Source organism: Homo sapiens, chromosome 1, assembly GCF_000001405.40.
Source record: "Homo sapiens chromosome 1, GRCh38.p14 Primary Assembly".
Lineage (NCBI taxonomy): Eukaryota > Metazoa > Chordata > Mammalia > Primates > Hominidae > Homo > Homo sapiens.
This window is the reverse complement of record NC_000001.11, coordinates 225447966-225467831: the sequence shown is the minus strand read 5'-3', so window position 1 is coordinate 225467831 and position 19866 is coordinate 225447966. Positions and strand designations below refer to the sequence as shown.

Below are 19866 nucleotides of genomic sequence, written 5' to 3'. Positions count from 1 at the left end.
AGACAGGAAGTGACCTCAATTTCCCCGGCCACAGAAAGGGCGGCTCCCCCTGCCTCTGCAGCTGGGTGTGAGTCCGCGGAGCTGAGAGCCTTGCCCTCTGCTCCATCCTCCTCTTTTGGGGGTCTCCGCGGTGTCAGGACTTGGAGAGCCTGGTCGTGGGACTTGATCAGAGAGGCCTTGAGTGCAGTGGGTGCTTATCTGGTGACTGTGGCCCTGAGGTCTGGGACAGACACTGCCAGTCTTTCTGGGCCACACCCACGGGGACTGCCAGCCCCCCTGGGCTTGGCACAGTGGAGGGGAGCCTCCACCACAGTGGAGGAGAGACACACCCAAGGCCCTGGATGTGCCCGGCTCTCTGCAGCTGTGGGTGCCTCAGGCCGGCCGCCGATGGGTCTCAGTTTCTGAGGGGGTGGCAGTGAAGTTGCAGAGAAGAAACCTATGAAGGTGCCCTGTCAACTGCCACACGCCGAGATGCACATTGACAGCCCATCACCGCCTCTTGCCTGTCCTCCCCGGGGACCGGCAGATCATGGGAGATGATTTGTCAAGGGGAGACACATTTGGGTGACACCAAGCCGAGCTTCCTGTCTTGAGACGCTTTCTGCTTTCTCATCTTCCTGCTAATGAGTTGCCTTTTGTGTGTGTAAGTTCAGAGGGCCTCTGTCACTGGTGTAACCTCTCCAGAACATTTGAACATGAAACAAACATCATTTCTCTAGATTAAATTAAATTAATTCCCAGCCGCACCTCCTGAGAGGAATCATCCACTGGGTTCCTGGGCGGGGAGGGGTCCTCACTGCATGTGTCAGAGGCGTGTGAACCAGAGCAACTCCATCTTGTATAGGGGCTGGGGAAAATGAGGCTGAGACCTACTGGGCTGCATTCCTAGATGGTTAAGGAAGTCACAGGATGAGATAGGAGGTCGGCACAAGATACAGGTCATAAAGACCTTGCTGATAAAACAGGTTGCAGTAAAGAAACTGGCCAAAACCCACCAAAACCAAGATGGCCATGAGAGTGACCGCTGGTCATCCTCACTGCTACACTCCCACCAGCACCGTGACAGTTTACAAATGCCATAGCAATGTCAGGAAGTTACCCTATATGGTCTAAAAAGGGGAGGCACGAATAATCCACCCCTGGTTTAGCATATCATCAAGAAATAACCATAAAAGTGGGCAACCAGCAGCCCTCAGGGCTGCCCTGTCTGTGGGGTAGCCATTCTTTTCTTCCTTCCTTTCTTTTTTCTTTCTTTCTTTTTTTTTTTTTTTTTTGATAGAGTTTCGCTCTTGTTGCCCAGGCTGGAGTGCAGTGGTGCGATCTCGGCTCACTGCAACCTCCTCCTCCTGGGTTTAAGCGATTCTCCTGCCTCAGCCTCCTGAGTAGCTGGGATTACAGGTGCCCATCACCATGCCTGGCTAATTTTTTGTATTTTTGGTAGAGATGGGGTTTCACCATGTTGGGCAAGCTGGTCTCGAACTCCTGACCTCAGGTGATCCACCCGCTTCAGCCTCCCAAGGTGCTGGGATTCCAGGCGTGAGCCACCGCGCCCGGCCCCTTCACTTCCTTAATAAACTTGCTTTCACTTTACTCTGCGGACTCACCCTGAATTCTTTCTTGCGCGAGATCCTAGAATCCTCTCTTAGGGTGTGGATCCGGACCCCTTTCCGGTAACGCATGGGCTCATGTGGGAGTCCCGAGGCTTTTGGGGGAACAGGAGCACTGCGTCGGCCTTGGCTTAATCCTGGGCACTCACTGCGGCTCCTCTGTTCCCTGAACAGTGTCCCCCCCGTCCAGGGGCTCAGAGATGTCCCCATGGGGTCCTCCTGGGTGGCCAGACTGTGCCCAGGGACCCCTTCAGGGCTCTTGAGATGGGGGAGCTCTGTGGCTCTTCCAGGGCCCACGCCACGGGCTGTGGGCAGTCTGGCTGCCTGCGCAGGAGGCAGGCGTTTCCTATCGGAGGACCCCAAGCCCAAGGCCCCCTTCCTGCTGGGCCTCGGGCAACTCAAGTGATTCCTCTCTGGTCTGGCTGTGGGAGTTGGTTCCTTCTTGCCTGGGCAGCCCCTGAAGCACAGAGAATCAGCTCCCAAGCCCATCCTTCCTTCCTACTCTGGGAGCCTGGTGGAGGAGCACAAAGTCCTGTCTGTCCTTCCAGGTTGGGGGAAGGCGCATTCCTCTCACCTCGTTTCTTGTGCACAGACAGCTCATTTCATAGCCATCTGGCAGGTGCTCAACCAAAGACGTCTCATGGCACTGTGGATCAGGAAAAGACATCTGATGCTGGAGTCCTACGTGGTTCATAGCCTCAGGCCCCAGCCCGTAGCCCTGCCTGCGTCACCAGGCTGTCAATGGGACAGGAGCACCCTGCTGTGCCCATTTTGCTTACCCAGAAAAAAACTTTGTAAAAGGCTTTGTATTTCCTTCCCTAGCCCTGGCTAACTGCACATGGTCACACTGTTTTTTCAGATCCCACTTCCTGTCCCACCCAGCCCCAAATGTCCGTGGAACCGGCCCCACTAACCTGCATCCAGCTGCCTCTTCCACCTGGGCCCTGCTCTCAGATGGAAGTGTCACCAAACACCCAGATCGCCGTGCTCCTGCTTCTCTGGGTAAGCACTTACAGAGGCTACACAGGTGCTTGCCAGGTTACGTTAGGCTGTGCCTTCTTTCCTTGTGGCCCATGCACAGGCCTCTGGCCAGCTCTGTCCGGGTGGCAGCTCTCCTGGTGTCCGGCAAGCTTCCTCTGCTCGGACTCTGCCAGTCAAAGCCCAGCCCTGGCTCCTGGAGTCTGCAGTGCAAGTGGCCTCAGAAGCCCAGCCTCCCTCTGCAGCTGAACCCTGCAGCCCTTGTGTGAGGTCAGACCCCAGCGCCCCTCATTTCCTTCTTTGGAATGCAGGACTGACTTGCAGGCAGAGGCTTTGTCTGTGTATAAGCCCAGACAAGCCTCCCAGGTCCTGCCATTAAGAGTCTCCAGGGGATTCTAGAGATTTCAGACGTGAGCAAATCCCAAGATGAATTTTTAAAGTATCTTTCAGCAGAGGAGAAATCCCAGTGGCCAAGCTTTAGTTTTCAACAAAACGGAAATAGATATTTTAAATTGGGGAAAAATTTCGTGGTCTTGTGCTACCCGCTCCCGGTCCCTTTTCCATGTGACGTTAATGATGCAGTGAACTGTTGCTGAGCCAAGCTGCATGCTCGGGGTTTTTCTCAACCCAGTACTTCAGGTAGCCAGCGCTAACCAAAGTTTATTTATTTATTGAGACAGAGTCTTGCTCTTGTTGCCTAGGCTGAAGTGGAATGGCGTGATCTTGGCTTACTATAACCTCCGCCCCCCAGGTTCAAGCTATTCTCCTGCCTCAGCCTCCTGAGTAGCTGGAATTACAGGTGTCTGCCACCATGCCTGGCTAATTTTTGTATTTTTAGTAGAGACAGGGTTTCACCATGTTGGCCAGGCTGGTCTCGAACTTCTGACCTCAGGTAATCTGCCCGCCTCGGCCTCCCAAAGTGCTGGGATTACAGGCATGAGCCACCACACCTGGCCTAACCAAAGGATTTTATTTGCTCTCCCTGGAACGTGAAGTGCCCTCAATCCTGACTGGCTGAATTCAGGTTGGCATCAGCTGTCGTCAGGATGACAGCAATGCCGGGTCCCTGGCCCCCTGCCTCCAGCCTCCTGCCCTCCAGCACTGCCTCCACTGCAGCCAGTGAGGTCTGATCTTCTCGTTCACCTCTCAGAGTGGCTCAGTGGTGAAACGTTGTCTGCAGCAGGGGTGGGCAAACCTTCTCTTTAAAGGGCCACTTATAAATGTTTTCAGGCCATAAGGTCATCATGGGGTGAAAAGAGCCACAGGCAGTATGCAAATGAACAGGCAGGGCTGTGTTCCAATAAAACTTTATTCACAAAAACAGGTGTCAGGTCAGATTTGGCCCTGGGGCTGCAGTTCCAGTCTACAGAATAAGGTGTGCTCAGCTCAGCAGTGCAGTGAGCATTTTGGGTGTGGTTCTTTTTTACCTCTTCAGTGTCTCACCTGCCACACCCACTACCACTCCCCACCGCCACACCCTGTGCCAACTCCTTGTCCCTGGAAGTTGCCCAGAGGCCTTCTGCTTCCTTGGGGTCTTTGCACAGGATGTGTTCTCATCCTGCAGACCTGGCTGCCTGATTCTCCACCTGAAAATCTCCCACTTGCTTCTACAGATTCAGCCCACCCCTCTCAGGGGCCTTGCCAAGAACTGCTCCTTCAGCCCTGTCCCCTCACAGGCTTTATCCTGCTTGGCCTCTGAGCAGCACCAGGCCCTGTGCACCTCTCCCCTCCCCTCCCTCCTCTTCCTTGGGAGGCTGTTTTGCCTGTTTTCCTCCCGCCTCCCTGACTGCTCCTGCTCCACCCCCTTCCACTGTGTTCTCAGCTGCTGATGCTTCTTTCTGCCTCTTCTTCAGCCCCTTCATCTCTCTTCCTCGGGGTGACCTGCACCCCCATGACCTCACTCCCCACCTGGTTACTGATGGCTCCCAGATCCACGCCTCCAGCTGGGCCTCTGCAGAGCATGATCCCACCAGACACTCCACGCGGCAGGGGCTGTTCAGACTCACTGCTTTTCTCCCCACGCCTGTGCTTCCTCCTGAAATCCCCCTCTGTAAGATGGCATTGCTCTAGGACTGACAGGTTTGCACGCCCGCTGTGCAGTAACAGGCCAATTACATCGAGACAGCAGGGAAATAATAGCAGGGCACCAAGCCAGGAGATGGGAGGAAGCCCTGAAATTCATCTCCCTGAGGAGTTCTGGGCTGGGATTTTTAAGGGGATCATGGAGGGTGAGGGGTTGGGAGACTGGGGTCTTTGATTGGTTGGAGTGAGGGGAATGAAGCCACCAGGAGGTGGAAACTCCATTCTTTGTGAGTCTGTTCCCGTGGGGTCCTTGAGACCAGCTGACATCAGTAGTGTCACTGGTGTGCAAGGACCTAAAAGAATATCTCAAATGGAAAACTTACCATTTTATAGTGTTCAAGTTGTTATCTATAGAACAGTGACGGGGAACCTTAATCTTGTCACGGGGTCTACGTGATTTTAGGGCAATAGGCAAACACCTCTGAGGAAGCGGGTCTGGGAGCGGGCTGGCCTCGTGCCAAACGCTGGATGTGCTGCCAGCTGGGTTTATTTTCCTTCCCCCCTCCCTACTTCCCGGGTTCATTTTATAAAGCTTATAGGGATGGTCGCAGCATCTGAGGTGAACACATTTTGGGAGCATCTTTCTAGTCCACAGCAAACCCCTTAGCCAGAGCAGTCCTCCACCGTTGCCCAGTGAGACCCTCCCTCACTGGTCTGTGTCACTGCTCCAGGTTCAATGAGACCCTCCACCCAGATGAGCATGAGCCCAGCCAGGGTGGGCTGTTCAGTTTCTTCCCTGGGAATCTGGAGCTGGATTGAGCTGGTCTGCAGGTAAATGGGCTTTTATTGCGTGAGGGGGATATGGGAGAGGCTGTTCCCACCACCATGGGCCCTGGGACAGCAGCGGCTGTGGGTTGGAGAGAGCGGGGAAGGCAAGCTGCGCAGGCAGGGTCAAAAGAGGGAGGTGGCCCCGGGCTCCAGGCCCCCTGAGGCAGGCCATGGGGTGGCAGGGTAGGGGCAGTGCTCCTGTTGTCTGGATGTTGAAGGAGGTCCTGGGAGATGAGTGATGTGGCCCCATGGCCAGTCATCCAGACTTTCCAGCCCCAGCCACCTTGACCCTCCTTCCCTCAACACCTTCTCTTGCCCTTGAGCTGCTGCTCCCGACAAGTAGGTAGGTCCCCAAGTCACCAGATATTCTGTCATGCTTTAGGTGACTAGACCCCCACATCCCAGCAGCTGTGCTCCCTGGCTGCTCCTGAAGAGTTGCCAGCCCCCTCCCTGGCCCTCACCAGTCCTGACAAAGGGGCTGAGGGGACAGGGGCAGGACTGGTCTGCTGGGTCCAGGGTGGCTTGGGGCCAGGCCGTTCTGTATCCTGGTTTTATAAAACGAAGCTGTGCTGCTCCTTCAGGCGATGGGGCGGGGCAGAGGGGGCACAGACTCCTCCTGACATCTCTGGCTTTGGGACAAAACAATTTACCCGGTGGACTCTTCTAGCCTGGTCTGAGAGCCCAGCAGGCTCGAGACACTGCAACCTGGCCTGGCCGTGGGCAGGCAGGGAGTGGAGGTTGCGGCATCGTCTGGGCAGAGGAGCTGGGGCGTTTGCCAGAAGTCTCCAACGGGCCATCTGGTCCCAGAGAGCAGAGCACACAGCCTCAAGAAATACGAGAAAGGCGGCAGGGGCAGGTGAGCTACAAAGAGGGCTCCCCTGGGCAGTTTCATTTTTAGGGGATTGTTTCATATATCTTCGGACCTTCAGGGTTTTAATATGTTTGAAGCTGTGCAGTGAAGCCCAAGGTCCTCTATGTGACCTTGCAACCCCTCTGGGCCTTGGCCAGCTGCCGCTCTGCCCCTTGCCTGCCCTCCAGACTCTGGTAAACATCAGCAAACCTGGATGGAGAGGAACCGTGGATGAGGATGAAGTGGGGAGTAGGTCCTCCAAATCCTTCCAAAGCCACCTCATCCTTCCAGCTAGCTCCAGGCAGGAGCAGCAAGCTCCCTGTGCTGTCCTGCATCAAACAGGCAAGGACAGCTGGACACGGAGAGAAGAGGCTGCAGGAGAAATGAAATTACCTCCACAGCCCAGGCAAGACAGCAGCCAGGGGTGCCTATCTGCCAGCTGTGCAGGAAAGACCCCTTCCCCACCATCCCCCGCTGGTCGGGGAGAGCCACACTTGCTTTTACTTATACTCAGTAGGTGTGATTAGCAATGCGAGTCTGGGAAGTTTTTTTCTCGAACTAGAAACCTTGGGTGGCACCCTTGTTGGGGTAACAGTGAGAGGTGTGGGTGACAGAGGGGAGGGGCCTTGATGCTTCCTTGCTCTTGGCAGGGGGAGCTGGCTGGTGGATGATTCATTCATTCAGTAATTGTTTATCTAGAGGAAATGATGGGCAAAGGCCCTGTGGGGTGGGCAGTGTCATATGAGGTGTCAGGAGGTGGCTGCAAAGGAGAGGAGCTTGCAGGGGTTAAGGCAGCTGAGGGACCTTAACCCGAGGTGGCACCTGGCTTAGCTCTCATAGCTGTGGTTGCTGCTTTTACGGTAGATTAGATTTTCCTGAAGCATGGCAAGAAAGAATAGTTGGGACAGGCTAGGTTTCTGAGCAGAATGCAACCTTTGGCAAAACCCCATAAAATACTCTGTAGCTTAAAAAAAATCCCCAGACCTCAGCCAACTATAGTTATGCTCCTAAACCAGTTCAACAGAAGCCCTTACATGACTGCTGATCTGGGTGGCAGGTGGTGGCTGTCTGCACCCTAGGCTGCAGGGAGGATGGCCCCGGGAGCCCCCAGACCACAGACACCAACAGAGGCCCGGGGTGGGGTGGGCGGTACCAGAGGCAGCTGCCGAGGACTCTTGGAGATGCTCCCTCTGCTCCTCCTTTTGCCACCAGGGGCCTGAAAAAGGATTTCCTTCCGTGGGAAAATCCAGATCGGCCTCCCTGTCACCTCTTCTTCACCCTCATTCGTTCCTCCCCCTGGGATAATCTGACTGTGCCTGTTCAGCTCTGTGGCTAAACAGAGTGGATCCTGTCAGTCCTCACCCTACGGATCGCTGAGGTCCTGCACCTTTCGCTTGGCCATGCTCAGCTCCGGGGCTCCCACCCGCCTTGCCTTTACCCCGGGACTGCTCTCCGCCTCCGTGGCTGGGTCCTGTCCTCGGGCTCCCTTCTTCAGTAGCAAGGACCTTAGGTCCTCATCCTTGAGCCTCTTCTCTCCCAAACAGACCCTTGTACCTGAGCTTGTCCACTCCCGAGGAGAACAGACATGTGCCCAGGCCTCGGAAATCTGTTGTTTCTAGGCTTCCTCTCTGTAAAGTTCCTGATTCATATAACTCATTGTAGGAATTGTGACTGGACATCCAGAGGCATCTCAACTCCATTGTGTCCCAAACTGAACTGGTCCCCTTTCCCCCACATCCCTGTCCCTCCTTCAGTATCCTCTACTCGGAGAGTAATGTCACCTCCTAAACACCCAGCCCAGAAGCCCTGGGGTCAGAGGAATGCAGGCTTTGGAGTCAACCACCAGACTCAAATCCTGGCTCTACCACCTCCTGTGTGATCCTAGCAAGTTCCTGAGCCTCTCTGTGCCTTAGTTTCCCAGATAGCATCAGCGCTCCTCTTATAGACTTCTAGTGAGGAAACAATGAGATATTCCATTAGAAGTGGCCATACAGATAGCGCTCAGTAAAAATGAGCTGTTATTAATCCCCTTCCCCCAACACACACACACACACACACACACACACACACACACTCACTCACTCAGCCAGTGACTCAGTCTTGTGGGCTCCACCTCATCTCCAGATCCAGGTCCCATTCACTGCCACAGTGGTGGCTCCGACCTTCCCCATTCCCACCCTCAGCAGCTGCAGTCACCTCCTTATTGGTCTTTCTTCCTGCATGGTCTCCCTACTCCCATCTTGGTGAATAATTCCTTTTTAACAACAACAACAAAAACCTTTTTGAGATATAATTCACATATCATACAAGTCGATCATTTAAAATGTAGAATTCAATGGCTTTTAGCACATTCATTGGGTTATGTGACCACCTCCACAACCGATTATTTTTCTTTTTTTTTTTTTTTTTTGAGACAGAGTCTTGCTCTGTTGCCCAGCCTGGGGTGCAGTGGCGCGATCTCGGCTCACTGCACGCTCCGCCTCCCAGGTTCATGCCATTCTCCTGCCTCAGCCTCCGGAGTAGCTGGGACTACAGGCACCCACCACCATGCCCAGCTAATTTTTGTATTTTTAGTAGAGATGGGGTTTCACCATGTTGGTCAGGATGGTCTCAATCTCTTGACCTTGTGATCCGCCCACCTCGACCTCCCAAAGTGCTGGGATTACAGGTGTGAGCCACCATGCCCAGCCTTACAACTGATTTTGTAGCAAATTTTCATCACTCCAAAAAGAAACCCTGTGTGCATTACCACTCACTCCTCATTCCTGCCTCCTGACCCTCTCCCACCCCTAGGCAGCCACTAATCTACTGTCTGCCTCTATAGATTTGCCTATTCTGGACGTTTCATATTAAGGGAACCCTATACTATGCGGTCTTTTGTGGCTAGCTTCTTTTACTTAGCATATTTCAAGGCTCATCCTTGTAACAAGTAGCATTCCTTCTTACGGTCAGATAACATTCCATTGTGTGGATATACTAGGCCACATTTTGTGTATCCATTCACCAGCTGCTCAACTGAATAATACATGGGTTGTTTTCATTTCTTGACTATTACACAGTCCATACAAAATGCTGCTATGAAATTCCTATACAGGTTTCTGTGTGGACATATGTTTTTGTTGCTCTATATACCTAGCAGTCATATTAGTCATATGGTAACTCTATGTCACTTTTGGAGGAACTGGCAAGCTGTTTTCCAAAGTGGCTGTGCTATTTCACAATCTTCCCTGTAAAGTGTGAGGGTTGCACTTTCTCCACGTCCTCACCCACACTCATTACTATCTGTCTTTTTTACTGTGGCCATCCTAATGCCTGTGAAGTGGTATCTCATGGTTTTGATTTGCATTTGCCTGATGGCTAACGGTGTTCAGCAGCTTTTCATGTACTCATTGACCATTTGTGTATCTTCCTTAAGAAACGTCTATTCAGATCCCTTGCCCGTTTTAAATTAGAATATTTATTTATTTTTATTATTATTATTTTTGAGACGGAGTCTCGCTTTGTTGCCCAGGCTGGAGTACAGTGGCGCAACCTAGGCTCACTGCAAGCTCCGCCTCCTGGGTTCACGCCGTTCTCCTGCCTCAGCCTCCCGAATAGCTGGGACTACAGGCGCCCGCCACCACGCCTGGCTAATTTTTTGTATTTTTAGTAGAGACGGGGTTTCACTGTGTTAGCCAGGATGGTCTCGATCTCCTGACCTCGTGATCCGCCCGCCTCTGCCTCCCAAAGTGCTGGGATTACAGGCGTGAGCCACCACGCCCAGCCAGAATATTTATATTTTTATTATTGGTTTGTGAGAGTTCTTCATATATGCTAGAGACAAGTCTCTTAGGCGTATGATTTACAAAACTTTTCTCCATTCTGTGGGTTGTTTTTTCACTGGCTTAATAGTGTCTTTTAAAACACCAAAGTTTTTAATTTGAACGAAGCCCAATTTATCCATGTTTTTCCTTTGGTTGCTTGTACTTTTGGTGTCATGTTTTAAAAACCATTGCCTACCTTGATGTCAAAATTTACGTCTATAATGTTGAGAAAAGAGAACTCTTAGATGCTATTGGTGGGGAAATAAATTAGTTTAGCCATTGTGGAAAACAGTATGGGAGTTTCTTAACAACTAAAAATAGAATTACCGTACAATCCAGCAATCCCACCACTGGGTATTTATTCAAAGAAAAGGAAATCAATATATTAAAGGAATACCTGCACCACCCTTGTCTATTCACAATAGCCAAGATACGGAATCAAGCTGAAAGTCCATCAACAGATGAATGAATTAAAAACTGTGGTATATATATACACAATGGAGTATTAGCCATAAAAAGAATAAAATTCTGTTATTTGCAGCAACATGGAGGGACCTAGAGATCATTGTGTTAGTGAAATAAACCAGACACAGAACTACAAATGTCCTCTCAGTCATATGTGGGAGCTAAAGAAGTTGATCTCATGTCTCGTGCAGGTAGAGAGTAGAATGATAGTTACCAGAGGCTGAGAAACGGGTGGGATGAAGAGAGGTTGAGCTGCTGGGTACAAACATACAGTTAGACAGAAGGAATACGTTCTAGTGTTCGATAGCACAGCAGGGTGACTATAGTTAATAATTTATTATACATTTCAAAATAGACAGGGATATGTGAAAAGTTCCCAACACAAAGAATCGATGAACCTTTGAGGTGATGGATATTCCAGTTACTCTGATTTGATCATTACACATTGTAGGCATGTGTCAAAATATCACATGTACCCCATAAATATGTACAATTATTATGTATCAGTAAAAAAAGCATGACTATATTTTCTGCAAAGAAGTTGTATTAGTCGGAGTTCTCTACAGGGACAGAACTAATAGGAGATATATATATATATATCTATATCTATAGGAGCTTATTAAGCATTAACTCACATGATCATAAGGTCCCACAATAGGCCATCTGCAAGCTGAGGAGCAAGGAGAGCTGGTCCAAGTCCCAAAACTGAAGAACTTGGAGTCCAATGTTCGAGGGCAGGAAGCATCCAGCATGGGAGAAAGATGTAGGCTGGGAGGCTAGGCCTGTCTAGTCTTTTCACGTTTTTCTGCCCGCTTTGTATCCTAGCCACACTGGCAGCTGACTAGATGGTGCGCACTCAGATTGAGGGTGGGTCTGCCTTTCCCAGCCCACTGACTCAAATGTTAATCTCCTTTGGCAGCACCCTCACAGACACACCCAGGATCAATACTTTGCATCCTTTAATCCAATCAAGTTGACACTCAATATTAACCATCACAGAAGTGTATAATTTTACTTCTTATATTTAAGTCTTTGATCCATTTTAAGTTAATTTTTGTGTATGAGGTGAGGCAGTGTTCTAACTTCATTCTTTTATGCGTGGATGTCTAAGTTGTCCCAGCCCCATTTATTGAAAATTGTCTTGGCATCCTTGTCAAGAATTAATTGGCTGTAAATGTGAGAATGTGCTTCTGAACTCTCAATTCCATTCCATTTATCTATATATCTCTATTCTTTTTTTTTTTTTTTTGAGACGGAGTCTTGCTGTTGCCCAGGTTGGAGTGCAGTGGCGCGATCTCGGCTCACTGCAGGCTCCGCCCCCCGGGGTTCACGCCATTCTCCTGCCTCAGCCTCCGGAGTAGCTGGGACTACAGGCACCCGCTACTTCGCCTGGCTAATTTTTTGTATTTTTAGTAGAGACCGGGTTTCATCGTGTTAGCCACGATGGTCGCGATCTGCTGACCTCGTGATCCACCCGCCTCGGCCTCCCAAAGTGCTGGGATTACAGGCGTGAGCCACCACGCCCGGCCTATATCTCTATTCTAATGCTAGGATCACACAGTCTTGATTACTGCAGCTTTGCAGTAAGGTTTGAAATCAGAAAGTGTGAGTCCTCCAACTTCGTTCTTTTTCAGGATTGTTCTGGCTATCCTGCGTCCCTTGAACATCTACATGAATGGGCAATTCCTTTTAAGATGCTTTATTTATTTTTTTTTTTTTTGGATAGAGTCTTGCTCTGTCACCTAGGCTGGAGTGCACTGGTGTGACCATGGCTCACTGCAGCCTCAACCTTCCAGGCTCAAGTGATCCTCCCACCTCAGCCTTCTGAGTAGCTAGGACTATAGATGTACTAATTTTTATTTTTCTATTTTTTCGTACATATGAGGTCTCACTATGTTACCTAGGCTGGTCTTGAACTCCTGGGCTTAAGCCATTCTCCCATCTCAGCCTCCCAAATTGCTGGGATTACAGGTGTGAGCCACTGCTCCTGACCCTTTTAACATACTTTAACTCCTCCTCCCTTTCCCTGTCATCATCCATCTACAAATGGATTGATTAGCTTTAATGGGGAAACACACGTCTCCCCTTTCTTGTGTTTTAGAACAACACTCAAAATTAACAATCGTTCTGAGTGATTCTTTTGTTTAAAGAGCTCTTCTGATTCACTGTGGACTCTGGGGGCAATTGTCACCCTGGTTCTGGTTTTCTGAGACTAGACATAAGGGGTGGGTGGCGTGGGAGAGGTGACAGGAGCAGCCAGCCTGTGTTGAACAACAGTTCTGGCGTTTCTCTGACTTCTCTATCACCCTGGTCGAATGGGTGGCTGAGTCACCAGTGTGTGAATCACAAGTGGAGAAATGTCAGGCAGTTGACAGACTGGTCTTTGAAGGCAGTGGAGCCTGAACGCAAGTGCCTTTCTGAATCTCTGCGGGCATTTATTAAATGCAGATTCCTGGAGCTCATGATTCAGGCATCCTGAGCTCCTAAGAGATGCTAAGTCCTCTCTCTGTAGAGTTTTCACTCTAGTGGAGAAAAGGCCAGTAATAAACAAGCAAACATCAGATACCAATGTTAATTGCAGAAAACAACGATAATGTCCAGAGAGTACCAGGAGGTCTACTTCAGATCAGGTGCCGAGGGAAGATCTCTTAGGAGATGACATTTCAGCTCAGATCTGAATGACCAGAGTGAGCCTCCACTGAGAAGGCTTTTGTGGCTATGAGAGTGCCCTGCCCAGCCAACCTCAGGATGGCTGCTAAGGGTATCTGTGCTAAGCTGACTTGAGCCACATTCTCTTCCAGGAATGACCATCTTTATGTTTTAGCTGTGTTCTTGTCACATTCTCTCCCGTTTGTGGATATTTTTGTGATGCAACCTTGTTTGCTTATTACTCACTAGTGGAGAGAGGTGAGGAGTTGTTCACTTTTTGTTTGATCTCTGTTTTCTCCCACGAGGACACACATTCCCGGAGGGCAGGGGTGCTCTGTCTTGTTGCATCTGTGTTCTCATACCCAGCACAGGTTCTCAGTAAATATATGTTGAATCAACTAATGATGCAGCATCAACTGCTACCAAATTTAGCTACTGATCCTGGCACCTGTTATAACAAATAAACACGACTGTGTGTGATGGAGCATTGCCAACTTCTGATGGGTGTTCTGTTTAATCCAAATGTTAGACTGTGAGGCACATTTTCAAGAGTGCAGGTTTTAGTAACTGCTCTTCCTGTAGAGTGCTGTGTTCTTTTGTGCATAATATGTAATAGTTAGTGAGCATTAACATTTGTTGTGAGATTTGCTACATGTCAGAAGCCATGCCCAGTGCTTAATGCATTATTCCTATTTACCTCTAACAAGTCATATTCATGAAGGTGCTATCATTATTCTCATTTTATGGATGAAGACACTGTGGCAGCTAGAAGCACTCACTTGCCCAAAGTTGCACTGCTGCCAGATGAGAATCTGGGATTCTCAATCCAGGAAATATGTCTCTGATATGGTTTGGCTGTGTCCCCACCCAAATCTCACCTTGAATTGTAATAATCCCCTCCTGTCAAGGGCAGGGCCAGGTGGAGATAATTGAATCATAGGGGCAATTTCCCCCATACTGTTCTCATGGTAGTGAACAAGGCTCATGAGATCTGATGGTTTTATAAATGGGAGTTCCCCTACACAAGATCTCTCTTGCCTGCCACCATGTAAGACGTGACTTTGCTCCTCATTCACCTTCCGCCATGATTGTGAGGCCTCCCCAGCCATGTGGAACTGTGAGTCAATTAAACCTCTTTCCTTTATAAATTATCCAGTCTCAGGTATGTCTTTGTTAGCAGCATGAGAACAGATTAATACAGTCTCCAAAACTGATGCTCTTGATCATGATGCTATGCCCCTTCCTCCAAATGAATATCTAGAAGTGTCCAGCCCAGTGGATTATTCTGCAGATAAGATGCACCCAAACACATATTTTCCTAAGCACCTGAAATGAGTTTTTTTCATTTTTATTGTGGTAAATATACACAAAATTTATTACTTTAACAATTTTTAAGTGTACAGTTCAGCGGCATTAAGTACATTCACACTGTTGTGTAACCATCACCACCATCCCTCTCCAGAATGTTTTCTTTTTCTCTTTCTTTTTTTTTTTTTTGAGATGGAGTCTTATTCTGTCACCCAGGCTGGAGTGAGTGGCGTGATCTCCACTCACTACAAGCTCCACCTCCTGGGTTCAAGCGATTCTCCTGCCTCAGCCTCCCGAGTAGCTGGGACTACAGGCGCCCGCCGCCATGCCCGGCTATTTTTTTGTATTTTTAGTAGAGATGGGGTTTCACTGTGTTAGCCAGGATGGTCTCCATCTTCTGACCTCATGATCTGCCCGCCTCGGCCTCCCAAAGTGCTGGGATTACAGGCGTGAGCCACCGCGTCCAGCTCCAGAACGTTTTCATCTTCACAAACAGAAACTCTGTATCTGTTAAATAGTAACGCCCCATTCCCTTCCCCCAAGCCCTGGTAACTCCCATTTTACTTTCTGTCTTGATGATTTTGACCAGTCTAGGAACCTCGTTTAAGTGGAATTCTACAGTATTTGTCTTTTGTGTCTGGTTTCTTTTACTTAATTATGCTCTCAAAGTTTGTGCATGTTGTGGCAGGTGGGGGCATGGTCTTCCTTTAATGGCTGAGTGATATTCCATTGTATGTAAATACAACGTTTTGTTCATCCATTCACCCACTGAGGGACACATGGGTGGCTTCCCCCTTTTGGCTATTGTGAATAATTCTGCTATGAACATGGGTGTAAGAAGCATGTTCTATGTATTAATTAAGGAAATCAAGGCCTCACCCAGAATGTGTCCTGGGGCTGGAAGGGCAGTTGGGGTCCTGAGGGTGACCTGTCTGCCCGTGGCCCCCGAGCTGGTCGGGAGAAGGCGCCATAATTTTCATGTCCTGTGCCCTCCTCACCCACCACAGCCCTTAGCCATATCTACACCACTGCCTTTCCCACCAGACGGTGAGGCCCCAGGACAGAGACTGGGGTTTTTTGTTGCTGCTTCACCGCCCCCGCTGCTGGCCCCTGCAAGCGCCAATTCTTGTGGTGCACGAGTTCCCCAGGAGAGGGGCCTCTGCACTACTGCCGAACGGAGCCCAGCACAGGTAAATAGTGCCAAGATTTGGGGAGAGCACCCTGAAGCGGGGTGGGCGCGGGCGTGGGCAGCGGGCAGATACTTGCAGCCCGCTTGGCACTGGGAAGCACCCACTCCCAGGCTGCTTTAGGGGGCGCTGCTGCTCTTGGACCCCAGAATGGCTGGACCGAGTGTCCCTAACCCAGCTGGGTGCCACTCTCAGAAGGCGCTATGGCGCTGACACGCAGGAATCCAGGCAGGCTCCCGCGCTGCCCCCGTAGCCTGACCCTGTTTCCTTTCCCAGTGTCTTTTTTTGTCTTCTTTCCAAACCATCTCTGACAAGTGGGGACAAAGTGAAGGGCAGTCTGAAGTTTTCTGAAGGCCTGGTTCTTAGAAACTTTTATTTTTTTAATTTAAATAAAGATTCCAGGAGATACTGTTCTGTCCTAACAAAGGAGTCTCGCAAGGTGTGTCTCTAAAAGGCCACCACGTCAATGACTCAGCCCTCCATAGCAGGGAGCTGAACCACAGGGGCCTGCAGATGGCTACCATTGCCCACAGGGAGATGCTTCTTTACCCACATTAGCTGTTCAGAGGGTATCTTACCAAACCACAACTGCCTCTGTCCGTGTGAAGGAAGGACAGCAAGCTGCCCAGGGCCACTCTGTGGCATAGCCTATGGAGTCAACTCAGCTCTCAGCCAATCCATGAGCACTTAGCGAGCACCTGCTAGGCCCCACAAGCATTGCTCTAGGACTGGGAATGCAGCTGCGAACAAAACAGACACAAACCCCTGTCCCGCAGGAGCTATTCTTCTAGCCCAGACAGACTGATGGGTGTACAAGGAGTGACATATGTGTGTGGTGGAAAGTGCTCTGCAGGGAAGGAAAGGGACTGGGTCAGGTAATGGGTTGCAGTTTTCAGCAGAGTGGTGAGGAAAGGCCTCACTGCAAAGGCAAGACCTGAAGAAGAGAGGGAGAGAGCCTCAGGAGTGTTGGGGAAGTGTTCCAGTCATGAGGGCAGCATGTGCAAAGGCCCTGAGGTGGAATCCAACAGCACGGAGGCCACTGTGGCTAGAGCTGAGTGAGCAGAAGGAAGAGGGTCAGAGGAGGAGGCCAGTGAAGGGGAGGAGGATTCTGAAGGGCTGTGTGCACCTTGGTAAAAGATGGTGATATGGTTTGGCTGTGTCCTCGAGCTGCTGCGGCCTGACAATGAAACCAAGCTTCCAGCAGAAGTGGAGGCAAGGGCTAGGAGACTGTGGCTCCAGTGATATCATATGAGTCCCTTGGTCAAGTTGAGCCGGAAGCACCAGATCTGTCCCTAGACTTTTTGGTTATGTGCCAGGAAAACAATTTCCTTTTTTCCCTTTTCTCTTTGCAGTTTACTTATTGTTATATACATTGCAGTTCAGAGAGTGCCCCTGCTCACAACTGTGTAAGCAGAGTGAGGGTTTACACGGGCCACTGTGACCTTCCCCTTGACAGGAAGCCCCAGGGCTGCGACAGCAGGACGATGAGCTGGCAGAGCTTCGCACAGGCTGCCTGGAAACTGGCACAGCTGCATTCATCAGAAGAAACAGTTGCAGCCGGGTGTGGTGGCTCACGCCTGTAATCCCAACCCTTTGGGAGGCCGAGGCCGGCAGATCACTTGAAGTCAGGAGTTCAAGACCAGCCTGGCCAACATGGTGAAACCCCATCTTTACTAAAAATACAAAAAAATTAGCCGGGTGTGGTGGTGCTCGCCTGTAGTCCCAGCTACTCGGGAGGCTGAGGCAGGAGGACTGCTTGAACCTGGGAGGTGGAGGTTGCAATGAGCTGTGATCGCGCAATTGCACTCCAGCCTGGGCAACAGAGCGAGACTCTGTCTCAAAAAAAAAAAAAAAAAAAAAAAGAAGAAGAAACAGTGGCTGATGCTTATACATATTTTATTTATCTCACAGTGTGGTACAATGTCATAGCCCTAGATAACTGGAAAAGACGCCCCCTGGAATTCTGGAGAATCATGAGAAATGTGTCAGGAGCTTGTTCTGCCTTGGAGGGGGTCTGGAGGTGTGAGGCATAGGGGCTGCCCCTGGGTAACCTGGATCATCAGCTGCTGCGGGGCATGGCCTGCACCATCCTGCCTCCCCAACTTGGCTCTCTCTGTGTCCCCTGCCACGTCAACCTTCCCATCTTTTCTACTGTCTTCTAAAATCCTGCCCATACTCCAAGGCCCTTCTGGAATGCCACCTCCTCCTGTCACCCTTGCTTGCTAATCCCTGACACGTGACCTCTGTTGCTCCTTTGCCATCAAAGCTTGGCAGTGGTCGAGGGAGGCAGTGCTCTCCAATGAGCAGAGCACAGGCTTCCCTTCCAGGCGGCAGAGACCTGGCTCTGCCATCTTCCCACTGTGCGACTGTGGGCATGTCACCTGACCTATTTGAATCTGATTGTCCTCATCTGTAAAATGGGAATAACACTCTCTACCTCGACATTGCAGGGTCCAGAGAGAGGGAGGGGCCGGGTAGAGGAGACCAAATCAACCGCTTGCAGACTCCTGTGCTCTATCATGGAAGGTTCCTAGGGGCTCCTCCTCTGCCCCAGGTGCTCCTCAGGGGCCAGGAGGACAGAGCAGAGGCAGGTCTGGGCAAGAAGGGTGTGACCGCGCTGAGATATGCACCCGTATAGTTGGCAGTCGGCGCCTGCCTTTCCTTGTTCCCAACCCACTCTAGAGTTCAGGCTCCGGGAGAGCAAGGATGGGTTCTGACTCATCCTGTAAGCTCGACGGGTGAATGCCCAGCCTAGGAGGTGGCATAGAGGATACAGGTGGCCCTATGATTGAATTGAGGTAGTGAAGAGTGGGAATTTTTTTTTTTTCAATAACAAATTGTGGCTGGGTGCAATGGCTCATGCCTGTAATCCCAGCACTTTAGGAGGCCGAGGTGGGTGGATCACTTGAGATCAGGAGTTCGAGACCAGCCTGACCAACACGGCGAAACCCCATCTCTCCTAAAAATACAAAAATTAGCTAGTTGTGGTGGCACACGTCTGTAGTCCCAACTACTTGGGAGGCTGAGGCAGGAGAATCACTTGAACTTGGAAGGCGGAGGTTGCAGTGAGCTGAGATGGCGCCACTGACCTTCAGCCTGGGCGACAGAGCAAGACTCCGTCTCAGAAAAACAAAACAAAACAAAAAAAAGAAACCCAAAATTGTGTTAAGCTGAGATCCAAGCAAATAGAGAGGCTGAAAAGAACACAGTTATGTGGGGTTTTCCCCAAGCACAGCTCCTCAATCTCAGCTTTCCACCCTTTGCTGGGTCCTTCCCTCATTCAGCTTTATGGGAGTCTTTATAGAATTCCTACTCTGAAGGTGGCGCCTGGGTCACCAAGTAAGACACAGAATTTGCCCTTGGGGTGCAGAAATAGTGGGTACCCAAGGCAGGATGCCCCAGGCACCATGAGGACATCCAGACAGGGGGGTCAGCAGCCTGGGACTCAATGAGAGGGAGGCGCTGAAACCCAGAGGCCACCCCAAAGTTCAGACCCTGAGAGGGTTAACTTTTGCCCACCCCCACCAAGCCGGACTCTTTTCTCACCAGAGTGGACACAACCTGAAAACCAACTGGACTGAGCATCCTTCTCCTAAAATCTCAGCCAGAAGCCACGATGGAGGGTCCTGGGAAGGGAAGAGATGTGAAGATTTCTGTGATTCTAAAACCTTGGGTCTGCCTGCAAACTTCTCTCTGATCCCAGCCGAGAGCTGTGCACACGCTAGCTAGCCCTGTCACACAATAGCCCAGTGTTCCCGTCACAGTGCCTGGGAATGAGAGGCTTTTGAGGCCACAGAGCTATGACAAGTCCCCAGGTTGAATTGACTCTGGGAGGACAAATTTCTGAGAGACTCACGGGACCCTTATCCAGGACAACCTCACAAAGATCCCTGAAACTGAGCTTCCTCTGCTTCGTGCATAGTTTGAGGTATAAACTTTCCTTGTGTCTCGGTCAGATGAAGTGAAGGATGAATATTATCCCAGGCTAAAGTAACGAAAAGTCCAGAAGCCAGCGATGACAGAGATGTGTGTGGAAGAAGGCTGTGAGCATTTCCATCAAACCCTGTGAGTTTCCGAAGATCTTATCCCGAAGATATGTGTTTGGCCAATAAAACACTGAATAAAAATCCATCATGTTTCCAGAGCCAAGTCGACTTCTGCTGGGCTGG

General features: G+C 50.4%; 1 long non-coding RNA gene across 3 annotated transcripts, besides 6 other annotated features; it reads left to right on the top strand.

The window, feature by feature from the left end:
- LINC02765 (long intergenic non-protein coding RNA 2765) lies at positions 60 to 19828 on the top strand. 3 transcript variants are annotated; one of them, NR_187302.1, is made up of 4 exons: positions 60 to 643; positions 2467 to 2609; positions 5339 to 5438; positions 19247 to 19828. It is a non-coding gene; the product is annotated as a long intergenic non-protein coding RNA 2765 (long non-coding RNA). The 3 variants fall into 3 exon arrangements; NR_187304.1 differs by lacking the exon at positions 19247 to 19828 and adding an exon at positions 6103 to 10377; NR_187303.1 differs by lacking the exon at positions 5339 to 5438.
- Positions 98 to 357: an enhancer, noted in NCBI's record as "active region_2625". NCBI's record gives its function as "activates an Ori minimal core promoter by ATAC-STARR-seq in GM12878 lymphoblastoid cells {active_cell/tissue: GM12878}" and the evidence as "EXISTENCE:reporter gene assay evidence [ECO:0000049][PMID:35858748]".
- Positions 408 to 707: an enhancer, noted in NCBI's record as "active region_2624". NCBI's record gives its function as "activates an Ori minimal core promoter by ATAC-STARR-seq in GM12878 lymphoblastoid cells {active_cell/tissue: GM12878}" and the evidence as "EXISTENCE:reporter gene assay evidence [ECO:0000049][PMID:35858748]".
- Positions 1396 to 2285: an enhancer, noted in NCBI's record as "H3K27ac-H3K4me1 hESC enhancer chr1:225653249-225654138 (GRCh37/hg19 assembly coordinates)". NCBI's record gives its function as "activates a minimal SCP1, AML or CMV promoter by ChIP-STARR-seq in primed H9 embryonic stem cells {active_cell/tissue: H9 hESC(primed)}" and the evidence as "EXISTENCE:reporter gene assay evidence [ECO:0000049][PMID:30033119]".
- Positions 6658 to 7339: an enhancer, noted in NCBI's record as "H3K4me1 hESC enhancer chr1:225648195-225648876 (GRCh37/hg19 assembly coordinates)". NCBI's record gives its function as "activates a minimal SCP1, AML or CMV promoter by ChIP-STARR-seq in naive H9 embryonic stem cells {active_cell/tissue: H9 hESC(naive)}" and the evidence as "EXISTENCE:reporter gene assay evidence [ECO:0000049][PMID:30033119]".
- Positions 8291 to 8585: a silencer, noted in NCBI's record as "tiled region #13241; K562 Repressive DNase matched - State 10:DNaseD". NCBI's record gives its function as "represses a minimal TATA promoter and a strong SV40 promoter by Sharpr-MPRA in K562 cells {active_cell/tissue: K562}" and the evidence as "EXISTENCE:reporter gene assay evidence [ECO:0000049][PMID:27701403]".
- Positions 11459 to 11959: an enhancer, noted in NCBI's record as "H3K4me1 hESC enhancer chr1:225643575-225644075 (GRCh37/hg19 assembly coordinates)". NCBI's record gives its function as "activates a minimal SCP1, AML or CMV promoter by ChIP-STARR-seq in naive H9 embryonic stem cells {active_cell/tissue: H9 hESC(naive)}" and the evidence as "EXISTENCE:reporter gene assay evidence [ECO:0000049][PMID:30033119]".
- Positions 19829 to 19866: the final 38 nt, after the last annotated feature.